The 14,801-nt window shown below is 42.4% G+C and overlaps 3 annotated features.

Moving 5' to 3' along the window:
• Positions 308–580: a transcriptional cis regulatory region, noted in NCBI's record as "candidate enhancer chr5.3497 targeted for multiplex CRISPR interference". NCBI's record gives its function as "positively regulates GNPDA1 gene expression with high confidence in K562 cells {active_cell/tissue: K562}" and the evidence as "EXISTENCE:mutant phenotype evidence [ECO:0000015][PMID:30612741]".
• Positions 4,133–4,192: an enhancer, noted in NCBI's record as "active region_23315". NCBI's record gives its function as "activates an Ori minimal core promoter by ATAC-STARR-seq in GM12878 lymphoblastoid cells {active_cell/tissue: GM12878}" and the evidence as "EXISTENCE:reporter gene assay evidence [ECO:0000049][PMID:35858748]".
• Positions 4,343–4,402: a silencer, noted in NCBI's record as "silent region_16467". NCBI's record gives its function as "represses an Ori minimal core promoter by ATAC-STARR-seq in GM12878 lymphoblastoid cells {active_cell/tissue: GM12878}" and the evidence as "EXISTENCE:reporter gene assay evidence [ECO:0000049][PMID:35858748]".

A 14,801-nucleotide genomic window follows, 5' to 3' on the forward strand; every position in this document is an offset into this window, starting at 1 on the left:
ATTAGAGTGTTCCAGACTTCTAGGGACACTTGGGAACTTTCCATGCGGAGGCTGGAGGAAGGACTTGAGTGCTGGTCATCAGTAACATCTTCCATTACATAGGGTTTTGCCAGAGCTTTGTGCGCATTATTTCATAGAATCCCGCCCAATCGTCAGATATGATTACCGCCATTTTATTGATGTGGAAACTGGGGATCAAAGGCGTACAGAGACTTGTGATATATGACCTCATAGTCTGACATCCCGGACTTTAGTCAGTGCTAGGGAGCAGTGGTGAGACCTTCTGAATCAGCCTAGTTTTCCTCCAGCAGCAAAAGGCCAAAGGAATCCTGGCTTTATGCCCACGGGACAGGGCCTTCCTCAGTCAGCCGGGTGGCCACGTTCTGCAATTCTGCTGAATCTGCTCACTGTGGACAGCCCCAGGCGCTCACCCAGCCCTTGGGCCCAACTGCAGCTCCAGACCAGCTTGCTAGGGGTAGGCTTCATCTGGTGAGGCCCTGATGAGACCAGATGGTGGAGCTGATACCTTTACAGTGTGGGGGACTTGCTCTTTGCCTCAGTGTTATTTTGTTTTGTTTTGTTTTGTTTTCCAAATCCTGAGAGGCTGTGAATGGCTCGGTGTTGGTGTAGTTTTTGTTTATTTTTAAATTCAGTCAGAAATCTTTTTTTTTTTTTTTTTGAGATGGAGTCTCGCTCTGTTGCCCAGGCTGGAGTACAGTGGTGTGATCTCTGCTCACTGCAACCTCCGCCTCCCGGGTTCAAGCAGTTCTCCTGCCTCAGCCTCCCGGGTAGCTGGGATTACAGATGCCCACCACCATGCCCAGCTAATTTTTGTACTTTTAATAGAGATGGGGTTTCACCATGCTGGCCAGGCTAGTCGTGAACTCCTGACCTCAGGTGATCTGCCCGCCTTGGCCTCCTAAAGTGCTGGGATTACAGGCATGAGCCACCGCCCCCAGCCAGAAATGTTGTCTCAGCTTGAGGACTGCAGATGTTTCACAATGAAGCTCCAACTCCAATCTCCGATCACGTCTGATAACATGGGCCAGGTCTGCAGCATCTGCATCCAGACCTTTCCAGGAGGAGAGTGACTGACTTCTGGTGACTAAGCCCATTTCCCCTGAGTTACCCCTTCTGCAGGGAACCAGTGCAGGGTCTCTGCGAAGCCTGGAGGCTCTTGGATCAGCGTGGGGACTAATCGGAAAGACCTGCATTTCAATTCTGGTCTGGCTAATTTCTGGTTATTTAGTGAGTAATTCAAGCAAATGACTCAACTTCTCCAGGTCTCAGTTTTCTTACCTGAAACATAAGAATTGAGTGGAAATTAAGTAATACTGCCCTCGTGTGGCTGTTGTGACTATTAAATGAAATATTAGCATAGCATGGCATTCACAGCCAGCTGTTATTACTTACCCCTTATTTCCTCCTAACCCTCCTTACAGCCCACTCTCTAACCATACTGAAATGCTCTCTAGCCCTAACCTCCTGACTCCCTGTACTCCTCCTACTCCACATCTGTGTTTAAACTATTACCCACACCTATCCTCCCATCCTCTTGTCTTGGAACTAAAGTTGCCAAATTAAAAGAATTGTGAGTTTATCCATGCAATGGAACACTCTGCAACTCTTGTATGGTCAGATATTTTTATACCTTCTAATGCACCCTTGCTTTGGGCAAACAACCTGACCAGATGTTACCTCCCAAATTCTGCTCAATTCATAGAGTTTGTGTGGTGCTGGCCCTACCCTTTGACTTAGGAGCAAACCAATTAGAGACTCCATGGCTCTGGCCATGATTAGTTCAAGGCCAGGCAGGCATGGAAGACACTAACCCAGCAGCCATTCAGAGACTCCTTCTCCCTTGCTGCTTCCCACTGGAGAAACTGGAAAGTCAACGACTCTCACAGCTTCTCCCACAGCTACGGGGTGGCCAAGTAACTTCATTCTGCCCAATGAGGGAGGAGGATGGCTTCTGGTTAGATATTTTACTTCCTGAGAAAAGTGCTGTGCTTGAGAAACAAACTGGCGGTTTCTGGTTCCTTCCCTTTCCTTCCTGCCTTGAAGGCAGTTGTGATGACTGAAGCTGGGGAGGCCACGTTGTAACTGTGAGGCACCAAGCATAAGGATAGAGTGGAGGAGGGAAAACACTTATGTCCTTGATATCTGACTAGTGCTGGGACCTCCTACTTCTGGACTTCTTCTAAGTAAATGGTAAATGTCCTTATGGCTTAAACTTTAAATCATTGTTAGGAGAATTTCCTGTGACTTGAAATTGAAAACATGACTCACTGCTAGAGCAGGTGATTCAGATCTTCCTTAGGGTTTATGCCACTACTGGGGGAAAATACACTTCTCCTGAGATCTTGAGCCGTAAAACAGAGGAAAGCTTAGAGCTACAGAAAGGTACAACAAATAGAAGAGAGACACAGAACTCTGATGACATCATTTGAGCCCCCTAGAATAGCATGTCTGAAGCCAAATATACCCTTTTGGGTTTCGTGGTTGAGTGAGTGAATGAGTGAATACATAATTAAATATCATTTTCCCCTGAAGCTAGTTAGAGGAAATTCTGGAAGGATATTTTATTAGTTATCTATTGCTGTGTAACAGATTACCCCAAAACTTAGTGGCTTAAAACAACAATAATGACTTATTTCTCACAGTTTCTGTGGGCTAGAAATTCAGACAGGATACAGTGGCGATGATATCTTGCCCCTCAACTGAAAGACTCAAATTCTGGGGCTGGAATCGTATGAAAGCTCATTGACTCACATGTCTTGACAACAGGTGCTCACTGTCAGTGGAACACTCACACATGGCTCTCCTTGTTGCCTGGGCTTCCTCACAACATAGCGGTGGGTTCCAAGGGCAAGCGTATCAAGAGACAAAGATGGGCTAAGGCTGTATCCTTCTTCTGACCTAGTCTCAGAAGTCATATAGCATCACTTCTGCTGAGCTCTGTGGGTTGGAGAAATCACAAGCCCCTATCCAGATTTAAAAAGAGAAAACATAGACCCCCATCTCTCTGTGTAAGAAGTTCAGTAATATTATAAGAAGAGCATGTTGGACGGGATACATGTACAAGTATGGCCATGTTTAAAAAATACAATCTGCCACAGACACACACTAACTTGTTATTAAGATGTGATCTGGCCAGGAGTGGTGGGTCACACCTGTAATCCCAACACTTTGGGAGGCAGAGGCGGGCAGATCACTTGAACCCAGGAGTTTAAGACCAGCCTGGCCAACATGGTAAAACCCTGTCTCCACTAAAAATACAAAAATTACCCGGGTGTGGTGGCACGTGCCTGTAATCCTAGCTACTCAGGAGGCTGACGCGTGAGAATCGCTTGAACCTGGGAGGTGAAGGTTGCAGTAAGCTGAGATCGCACCACTGCACTGCAGCCTGGGTGACAGAGCAAGACTCTGTCTCAAACAAAACCCCCTGCCCCATTTGGCAAAAAAAAAAAAAAAAAAAAAAAAAATTTAATAAAAAGATTTGATCAAAGTAATTGACCATCTACTCTGTGCTGGTCACTGTGCTAAAAGTTTTTAAAGCATCGTCTCATTGACTCATCATATTTTTTCAAAGTGGGTGCTGCGGGTTGGATACATTCTGCCTAATATTTGTATGAAATGAATGATTTTGTCTTGAAGGAAAAACAACAACAAAACCTTGAAAACTTAATGAATCTTATGCTTCCATCCAAGCCAAGTAAATTGCCACCTGCCCTGCAGTCTTCTTTTTCATTCATTTATAAAATATTTATTGAGCCTTTACCATGTGCCCAGCACTATTTTAGGTTCTGGGGACACAACAATGAACAAAGCAAAGTCCATACCCTTGTGGACCTCCAGGCTCTAGGAATTACATTTTTATGAATTTTAGTAACTCGGTGTGACAGCCAGCCTCCAAGACGGCTCCTAGTGATTCACACGCTTATGTAGTCCCATTCCACAGTGGATGGGGTGACCTGTGTAACCCAACAGGATAGTGCAGAAATGATGGGTGTGTCTTCTAGGGTTAGGTCATAAAAGCCATTGCAGCTTCTTCTTTGTTTTCTCTCTGGGATCACCTTCTCAGTGATGTCAGCTGCTCCATTTCCACACTGGAGCAGCCTTATGGAAAAGCCCAGGTGGCGAGGAAACAAGACAACAGCCATGGGAGCCATCTTGGAAGCAGATCCTCCAGTCCCAGTCAAGACTGCAAATGACTGCAACCCTGGCCAGTAGCCTCACTGAAATCTCATGAGAGACCCTTAACCACAACCACAACCACAACCACTCAACTAAGTCATTCTTGATTTCTTGACCCACAGAAGCTGTGAGATAATAAACACTTGTGGTTTTAAGCTGCTAAATTGAGAATGATTTGTTATGCAGCAATATATCTAATACGCTCAGAAAAAAAATCCACAAATGGGGAGGGTGGCAAACAAGAGATTCAACCTTTGTAGCCAGTCCCTTGTGTCTGGAGGTGCAATGTCTGACCCATCAGAGACTCCCCACTCCCCACCCCTATACTCCAACATCCTGCCCCCTTCCACATGTTTGTGGAATCCCCTGCCAAGGCTTTTGCTGAGCCTTTCTTTCTGCTACTTGCTGTTTTCCACCTTTTCATTTTCTGAGGCCCTGTCTTACCTCCTATAATGATAGCCATATGTCACTACTCCCTGCATTTCCCATACTCCCTGTAGCTCAGTGGTACCTTGCACATAAAAGCCAAAGCCCCAAGTGGCTCAGAACACTGGCTCTGAAGCCCATTGGATTCAGATTCTGGATCAATCACTAATTAGCTGGGACACTTTTCTTAACCTTCCTGTAGTTCAGCTCCCTCAATTGTAAAATGGGGATAATCATAATGGCCACTCATAGGATAGTTGTGAGGATGAAATGAATTGACACGTGTAGAGCATTTGGAACTGCTCTACACAGTCTGTCACCCAGGCTGGAGTGCAGTGGCACTATCTCAGCTCACTACAACCTCCACCTCCCAGGTTCAAGCGATTCTCCTGCCTCAGCCTCCCAAGTAGCTGGGACTACAGGCACATGCCACCACACCCAGCTAATTTTTGTATTTTTAGTAGAGACGGGGTTTTGCCATGTTGGCCAGGCTGGTCTTGAACTCCTGACCTCAAGGGATCTGCCTGCCTCAGCCTCCCAAAGTGCTGGGATTACAGGCATGAGCCACTGCGCCCAGCCAACCACTAATTCTTTTTTTTTTGAGACGGAGTCTCGCTCTGTCGCCCAGGCTGGAGTGCAGTGGCGCAATCTTGGCTCACTGCAAGCTCTGCCTCCCGGGTTCACGCCATTCTCCTGCCTCAGCCTCCCGAGTAGCTGGGACTACAGGTGCCCGCCACCAGGCCTGGCTAATTTTTTGTATTTTTAGTAGAGATGGGGTTTCACCGTGTTAGCCAGGATGGTCTCGATCTCCTGACCTCGTGATCCGCCCGCCTCAGCCTCCCAAAGTGCTGGGATACTAATTCTTAATTCTAACTAAAAAATCTCTTTGCCCCAACAGCACACCCACATGACCAGCCAAAGTGGGGTTCTACCTTGCTTTCCTTTCAATTTAGCTCTGTTCTTCTCTTCCTTGTAGTAAACTTCTGTCAGTCCTTTTGGCTTCTCAGTTGTTTCTCCCTTCTTCTCTCTCATCTCAAAAGCCCAGATGTGAAACCACCAAAAACTGGCTTCTTAGAGGGCAGAAGAGAGGGGAGAAGCCTAGAAGGCAAAGGAATAATTTCTTTTTTCTTTTTCTTTCTTTCTTTCTTTTTTTTTTTTTTTTTTTTTGAGACAGAGTCTTGCTCTGTTGCCAGGCTGGAGTGCAGTGGCGTGATCTTGGCTCATTGCAGCCTCCGCCTCCCAGGTTCAAGCGATTCTCCTGCCTCAGCCTCCCAAGTAGCTGGGACTACAGGTGTGCGCCACCATGCCCAGCTAATTTTTGTATTTTTAGTAGAGATTGCGTTTCACCATGTTGGCCAATATGGTCTCGATCTCTTGACCTCATGATCTGCCTGCCTCGGCCTTCCAAAGTGCTGGGATTACAGGCATGAGCCACCATGCCTGGCCTTTCTTTTTCTTTTTAATTTGGTAAAACACACACACACACACACACACACACACACACACACACCATTAAGCTTACCATCTTAACCATTTCTAAGTCTATAGTTTGGTAGTATTAAATATATTCACATTGTTGTGTGACCAATCTCCAGAACTTTTTCATTTTGAAAAACTGAAACTTTGTAGCCATTAAACAATTTTTTGACTTAACATAATGTCCTCAAGATTCATCCATGTTGTAGCATGTGACAAGATTTCCTTCTTTTTCAAGGCTGAATAATATTCCATTGTATGCATATACCACATTTTCCCCTACTATCTGCCATCCATTTACTTAATTGATTTCAGTACACATGTATAGCAGTACCAGGATTGTAACCCTCACTCCCGTGTGAAACAACTTTATCAAATAGAGCACAGTGCTTATGTACAGCTTCTTTTGCCTTTCATCTGACAGGTTCCACTAATTTCCAAAGTTACTTGTCAGCATCTTTCCCCCTCTATAACTTTCAGTGAGGTTGTTTAATACATTTTAATGCAGTTATATTGTTTTGTCACATTCTACATTCTGTCCTGGGATCCTTCTCCTAAATGATTTTTTAAAAATTGGTATACTCTTTGTGCTATAAAATTCTATGGGTTTTGAGACATGCATAGTGTCAAAAATCCCCGAAAATATAGGGGATTTTTTTAGGACAGTGAAACTATTCTATATGACACTATGATTTAGGACCTATTTAACTCTCTGAACCCCTTGGCAATCATTAAACTTTTTATTCATTTATTTATTTATTTTTGAGACAGGGTCTTGCTCTCTTGCCCAGGCTGGACTGCAGTGGTGTGATCACAGCTCACTGCAGCCTCCACTGCCCAGGCTTAAACAATCCTCCCACCTCAGACTCCTGAGTAACTGGGACTACAGGCATAAGCCAACATACCTAGCTAATTTTTAAATTTTTTTGTAGAGATGGGGTCTCACTATGTTGCTCAGGTTAGTCTCAAACTCCTGGGCTCAAGCAATCCTGCTGCCCTGGGCTCTCAAAATGCTGGGCTTACAGTCACACACCACCATGCCCAGCTTTTTTTTTTTTTTTTTTCTGTGGAGATGGAGTTCTGCCATGTTGCCCAGGCTGGTCTTGAACTCCTGAGTTCAACTGATCCACCGGCCTCAGCCTCCCAAAGTGCTGGGATTATAGGCATGAGCCACCGCAACTGGCCTCACTGAGCTTTTTATCATCACGGTAGTTATGCCTCTTCCTACCACATTTTGATTATCCATTCATCTGTTGATGGATGTTTGAGTTGATTCCACCTCTTGTCTATGGCAGATTCCTTTTAAAGGGAGAAATGAGAACAAATTTAGTAATTTTAGACTCCATCACAAGAAAAAAACTATATAATAAATTGTGTGGCTCCAACATTAAATGAGAAAGCGGGTCATAGCTTGAAGAGTCTCACAGGGCAGAGCAGGGTACATGCAAGTCAGGGTTCAGAAATGGACTCCATGGCCACACTATCTGGCTTCGAATCCCAGCTCTACCACTTTTGGGCTGTGTAACTTCTGTGTAAGTTATGACATGTCTTTGTTCCCTAATGGCTTCACCCATAAAATAGGAAAAATAAGATCTACCTTACAGTATGTACTATTATTATCAAGAGCAGTTGCCTCACGAAGGGTAAATGATGTAATGCGTCTAAGGCAAATAATAGCTGCCACATTGTATGTAGTATTATTCTCAAGAATAATAATCTTGCCTGTAATCCCAGCACTTTGGGAGGCCGAGGCAGGCAGATCATGAGGGCAGGAGATTGAGACCATCCTAGCTAACATGGTGAAACCCCGTCTCTACTAAAAATACAAAAAATTAGCCAGGCGTGGTGATGGGCGCCTGTGGTCCCAGCTACTCGGGAGGCTGAGGCAGAATGGTGTGAACCCAGGAAATACAGCTTGCAGTGAGCCGAGATTGCGCCACTGCACTCCAGACTGGGCGACAGAGCGAGACTCCATCTCAAAAAAAAAAAAAAAAAAAAAAAAAAAAAGAAGAATCTCAGGGAGGAGCAAATGATTTGACAAATATAAAGCCCTTAGAACAGTGCCCGGCACAGAGTTAGCCCTCACTAAGGGACCATTACCATTATTACTAGGGTTTTGAGATGGGCTCAAAAGAGCCAGGATTTGATCATTTAAGAGGAGGAGGAAGGCATTATAGGCAGGCACAAACAAAGGCACAGTGGCACGGAGGCTGAGGGAGTAGATTTAACAAATAAAAGTACAGAACATCAGTGAAATCTGAATTATTTATAATTGCCTGTGCATATGTACACTGAGATAGAAAAATATTGCATGCACTGACTTATACTTTTAGTAAATTACTTTTAGTAACATATTCATTGCTTATCTGAAATAAATTGTAAATATCTAAATTACATACCTCTTTAATTATATTTCCCTGGAGATTTTGTGCTCCCTAATAGTTCTTCATTTTGCAGAATTTATGTATAAAATTCCTTACTATTAGTCTGTGTTCCATTTACATTTTATCATGACTTCTGCAGTGGTTGCATCCAATTTATTTTGTTCTTTTGGCCACTGAACATTCATTAATGAGAAATCATGCTTGACATTAGCTTTACAAGCCAGTGTATTGAACATACATAGGCATAAAGTTACCAACTCTGAGAATTACTCTTCAAATTTGATTGGCTGAAGCACATGTGTCATCTTTCATGCATAACTTGCTTTTCCGTTCTTCAGGATCACATTGCATCTTTTGATCAATGACTCTTTAAAATGTTGTCCACTGACAAGAAGGAGCACTGTCATCAGTTTTTATTCCTTCTTTTCATTACACTACATGTAGATTACAATAGAACTTTTGATGGATGTATGCAAACAGGTACAATGTTTATCCAAAGTTGAAGCAAAGCCTGAATGATCCTATGAAAGATATTGGCTGTCCTGCCCATGTTCTCATAATGCTGCTTAAATAGCACTGGATGTTTTCTATTGAGACTGAAGTAATTATCATGAAATTTTTCACGTAATGTAATCATTTAGGTTTTGCTTCAACTTTGAATAATCATTGTACCTGTATGCATAACATATAATGTAGTGTAATGAAAAGAAGGAATAAAAACTCATGTAATAAATTAAAAAACACATGTAATATAATGTAGTATAGATTTTATTCTTTCTTTTTCATCACACCACACATGGTGATTCCACTTGTACCCACACTGGAAAAGTATTTAGTAACATCCATGTAAAAAACTGAATTTTTCAAGGGATGAAATCCATCTTGAAAGATGGTCATAACAAGTGTTGTAATAATTGTCCACTCTGAGCTAAAATGTATTTTCCTGTTCATATGTAATGTCCCTTTTAACAATAGTTTTGATAATTCAAGGGATGCATTTTTCATCAATTCTCCTTCAACACATTCAACAAATACATTTAGCAATGGAGTAGTACTTCCATAACACTATTTGCTCTTTCAATTTGCAGAATCCTATAGCAGAATTGACACTGAAAACTATGAATGAGAAATAACTAGGCACCATTCAATGGATTATTTTAAAAGTCAAGAATTTTGGGGGCCTTTTCTTCATAATTAAAGTATAATTTCAGTGCTTGAAATAAATGGAAGATTCTCTCAACTATGTTTGTTAAAGAGATCCAATGGATTTTTGAATGCAAGAGAAATGAATAATTCCGAATGCCAAAATCATAAAAATCCTTAAAATGTTCAGTTAGAACCCTATAAATACTAAAGTAAGAGAACAATTTCATGATAATTACTTCAGTTTCAATAGAAGAGATCCATCCAATGCTATTTACGCAGCATTATGAGAACACGAGCAGGACTGCCAATACCTTCCATAGGATCATTGAGGCTTTGCTTCAACTCAAATAAATAGTGTACTTGTAAGCATACATCCAACAAAAGTTCTATTTGTATTATTTCCAACGAAAGCAGTAAAAACGTTTTCATTAACTGCCAACTCAAGAGGCTCTGCAAATATTTGCTATTGTTTCTGAAGTCTCACCTGGAAGGGATTCTACCTGCAATTGCCTTGTTGCAAGTGTTTTTATGAGAAAACTAGTGCGCGCAGGAAAAGTTGTACCTGTATTGTGATACTTGTATTGTGGCTATGCCACAAAAAGATGAGGCATTTAGATATTTGATAATCTCTGTAATAATAAATGAAGCTATTATATTTTTTATTAGGGCAGTCGATTTTATCCTAGCATTTGAAATTTTGCTTGCAATTTTGGAACCAGAAAATACTTTGTCAGTAGTATGTTCAAATAGTTATTTGAGCAGAAAGACTGATAATGATATAGTGTGGAAGGCCATTACAACTTCTATTACAACTATTTTTGTCTTAATCTGAGTTTCTCTTAATCAAAAAACTTTGTTGGTGTATCACTTTTCTTAGTACTGGTTGAGAAAATCTTACATCTCTTTTATGTTTAGCCATTCATATATGCTAGTTTCCATCTAACTTTCTATCATTTTTATACTAAATGAACAATTACTGCACAAAGAGCTTCAAAAGGACTTTTCCTTGTTTAATAAATGTCCACTGGTCAGAAATTTCATCACAAAATTTACACTTGCTTTTTGACAATCAGTGGTTCAAATATACGCAAATAAAAAACAGATCATATAAACTACTGCAAAAATGGAAGACTGACTTTGCTAAGCTCAGCCGCTTCAGTACATCTGTCACTCGTAAGTCCAAACTCATAACAAACCATAAACAAGGTCCAACTGTTAAAAGAGTTGCGTTACATTGAACCTGACATCTGATGCCAAAAGAAAAAAAAAGTGAACTTCCGGTTTGCTTGCAAGAGAGAACCGTACCTCTATGGGAAAGTCTCCCAACCCCCAGGGCTGATTTAGTGTAAGGTTTAGGGAAGCGGGTCATGCAGGGTCTGGTGGCGCTTCTGAAGCCTAAGTATTTAGGAATCTAAGGCCTTTCAGCTGTGTTAGCAAATCACAGGCGGAGGCTGCCTTTCGCCTCCGACTTCCGGGAGCGCCGGCGCTAGAGCGAGACACTTGCTCATTGGCTGCTGTCGAGCAGCGGAGGGGACCGAGGGGCCGGCCCTGATGCGCTGCCTTTCGGGCTGTAGTGGATCCGCTTACTTTTAGGAGTGCAGTTACTGCAGCGATGCTGTCGCCGACTGGCTGATTTTCAGAACGTGTGTATGATTAGAAGTTATCTCTAATTAACGGTGGCTCCTGTTCATGACTTTGGGCTTCTGCAAAGAACAGTGTTTTCCTTTCCCGAATAAAAAAATAAGTACCCTTAATTCTCAGTCTTCCCTTCTGTTCTTCCCTCAGCCGAACCTGCATGAAACCAAGAAGGTATTGTCCAAATCTTTATGGAGATACGCTTTTCAGCTAGTGTTGCCATTTAGGTGATTTAATTTAGGTGCCAGTTACTGTCGAGGAAAAGTAGCTCTGATGATTTTTGAATGTATTGAAAAAAGCTGAACACAGGACATTCAAGGAGTCTTGACAAAGTCAAGTAGACAAAATACAGGATGTGCCCCACATACACAGCCAACTCTATGGGGAAAGTGAGACGGGAAGGGAGGGAAAGCCCCATATCCGACAGAAAGAAATCTAAGTCCTTTGTCTTTCTGGAAGGGCATCCATGGCATCCCGGCTTGTTAAAGAAAAATATTAGAACAACCTAAATATCCGTCAATCAGGGACTGATTGAATAGTTTTGCACACTTGTAAAATGGAATACAATGCAGCTACTAAAAAGGAGCCAGTTCCATGAGCTGATAGGAAGACTACCACAATAGTTAAATAAATTTTTAAAAGCAAGATACAGAACTCCGTATAACATGTGTGCTAAAACATGCATGAGGGTAAGGAGGTAAGAATAAATATATGTTCCTGCGCGCATAGACAATTTCTAGAAGGATGCTAAAGAAACAGGTCGCAGAGATCTCTTTGGGGGAAGGGAACTAAAAGGCAGCAAGCGGAGGGAGTCTTCCTTTTTATGGCATATCCTTTGATACTGTTTTCATTTCTTTATTCTCTGTGATGCATTATGTCTATATATACACATATATAATAACAATATATATCATATCATATATATGATATATTGTATATAATATATATCATATATAATATATGATATATGATATATAATATATAATATATACATATTATATATAGTCTATATGTATATATATACATATATGTATATACATATACATGTATATGTATATACACATATACATATATATGTATATATACACATATACATATATATGTATATATACATATACACATATATATACATATATGTGTGTATATATATACATATATATGTGTGTGTATATATATATACATATATATATATATATACAGAGTCTCTCTCTATCGCCCAGGCTGGAGTGCAGTGGCGCGATCTCGGCTCACTGCAAGTTCCGCCTCCCGGGTTCACGCCATTCTCCTGCTTCAGCCTCCCGAGTAGCTGGAACTACAGGCGCCCGCCACCGCGCCCGGCTAATTTTTTTTTGTATTTTTAGTAGAGACGGGGTTTCACGGTGTTAGCCAGGATGGTCTCGATCTCCTGACCTTGTGATCCGCCCGTCTCGGCCTCCCAAAGTGCTGGGATTACAGGCGTGAGCCAACGCGCCAGGCGCATTATGTATATTAAACAATTTTAATTATATATTTTATATATATATATAGAGAGAGAGAGAGAGAGACATTTATTGCAAGGAATTGGCTGATACTGTTGTGGGAGTTGGCGAGGGAGTTCTGAAATCCATATGTCAGGCTGTGAGGAAGGCATGCAGGAACTCTTGGGCATGAACTGAAACTGTTGTCCAATTTCTTCTTCTGGAAACCCTCAACTCCTCTCTTCTAAGGCCTTTCAACTGATTGAATCGGGCCCACCCAGATTATTTTGGACAATCTCTTATTTCTCCTTCCTTCCTTCCTTCTTTCTTCTTTTTCCTTTCTTCTTTCTTCTCTTTTTTTGAGACAGAGTCTCACTCTGTCGCCCAGGCTGGGGTGCAGTGTTGTGATCTTGGCTCGCTGCAACCTCCGCCTCCTGGGTTCAAGCAGTCCTCCCACCTCAGCCTCCCAAGTAGCTGGGACCACAGGCATGTGCCACCACGCCCGGCTAATTTTTTGTATTTTTTCTAGAGACAGAGTTTCACCATGTTACCCAGGCTGGTGTCGAACTCCTGGACTCCAGCGATCCACCTGCCTTGGCCTCCCAAAGTGCTGGGATTACAGGTGTGAGCCACTACGCTTGGCCTCTATTTCCTGAAGTTAACTGACTATGGACTTTAATCATATCTACAAAATAACCTTCACAGCAACAACTAAATTGCTATTTGATTGACTGAGGACTGTATCCTAGACAAGTTAACATATAAAACTGACCCTCAACCTATATTAGTCATTCTTCACTGCATGACAAATTACTCTAAAATGTAGTGCCTTAAAACAACAACATTATCTTAAAGTTGCTGGAGGTCAGGAATCTAGGTGCAGCTTAGCTGGGTCTTTTTTTGTTTCCTTAAATTTTTTTTTTTTTTTTTTTTTTTTGTGGAGACAGGATCTTGCTTCGTTGCCCAGGCTGATCTCCTGGTTTCAAGCAATCTTCCTGCCTCAGTCTCTCAGTCTTCTGGCCTCAGCCTCCCGAAGTACTGGGATTACAGGATTGAGCTGCCACACCTGGCCCCTATCTAGGTCTTTTTTTTTTTTTTTTTTTTTTTTGAGATGGAGTTTTGCTCTTGTTGCCCAGGCTAGAGTGCAGTGGCACTCTCTCGGCTCACTGCAACCTCCACCTCCTGGGTTCAAGCGATTCTCCTGCCTCAGCCTCCCAAGTAGCTGGGATTACAGGCACGCACCACCACACCTGGCTAATTTTGTCTCCTGGTTTCTACTTTATTTGTTATCCCTAGTGTAAGAAAAAAGCAACCTTGATGTTATTGCACACTTTATAGGCTAGGACACACACAGCCTTCTTGACTGTTCTGGAGGGCTGCTTTTAACTGTCTTGCCAGAGCATATTTACTATTTCCCCATAGTATATAATCCTTGGGTGTGGGGAGTAACACATCTACCTGTCTTGTGGCCATGCAAGACCACACTTCTAAGTTACCTTAACAAATAATCCTCTACCAACAAGCTGGATTTGTCAGCCTCCTTTGATTTCTTGGCTCTGGCATTTGGGGGTCGCTCTGCATATCCAGCCCCTTTGCGGAACACTGGCTCACTCACATGCTTATTGGTAGGATTCAGTTGCTCATGAGCTGTCAGCTGGAGGCTTCCCTTGGTCCTTGCCACGTAGGCCTCTCCGCAGAACATCTCACAACATGGCAGCTTATTTTGTCAGAGTGAGCAAGAGACTTTTAATTATTTTGAAAACAATGAATTTTTAAAAATCGAATGTATGGGCTGGGCATGAACAGGAGGCATGGATAGATTTGCAGGTGTGGACAGGATGTTTCTGAGCCTGGTGACCCTTCTGCAGGTGGGTGGACCTCCGCGCCTGGCTGATCAGCTGTGTGGGACACTTCCCACGTCTCCAAGTCTCTTCCATATCACGGAGCACAAGAAACAGCCTGGGTGGAAATGGGGGAAGTCCTAATCCCAGAGGGGAACAGCTTCATCCCACATAGCGAATGACTGAGAAGAAGAGCTCATGATAAATGTGCTTAACTGCACAAGCAGCCAAAGGGCACA

This window comes from Homo sapiens, chromosome 5 (genome assembly GCF_000001405.40).
Source record: "Homo sapiens chromosome 5, GRCh38.p14 Primary Assembly".
Classification (NCBI taxonomy): Eukaryota; Metazoa; Chordata; class Mammalia; order Primates; family Hominidae; genus Homo; species Homo sapiens.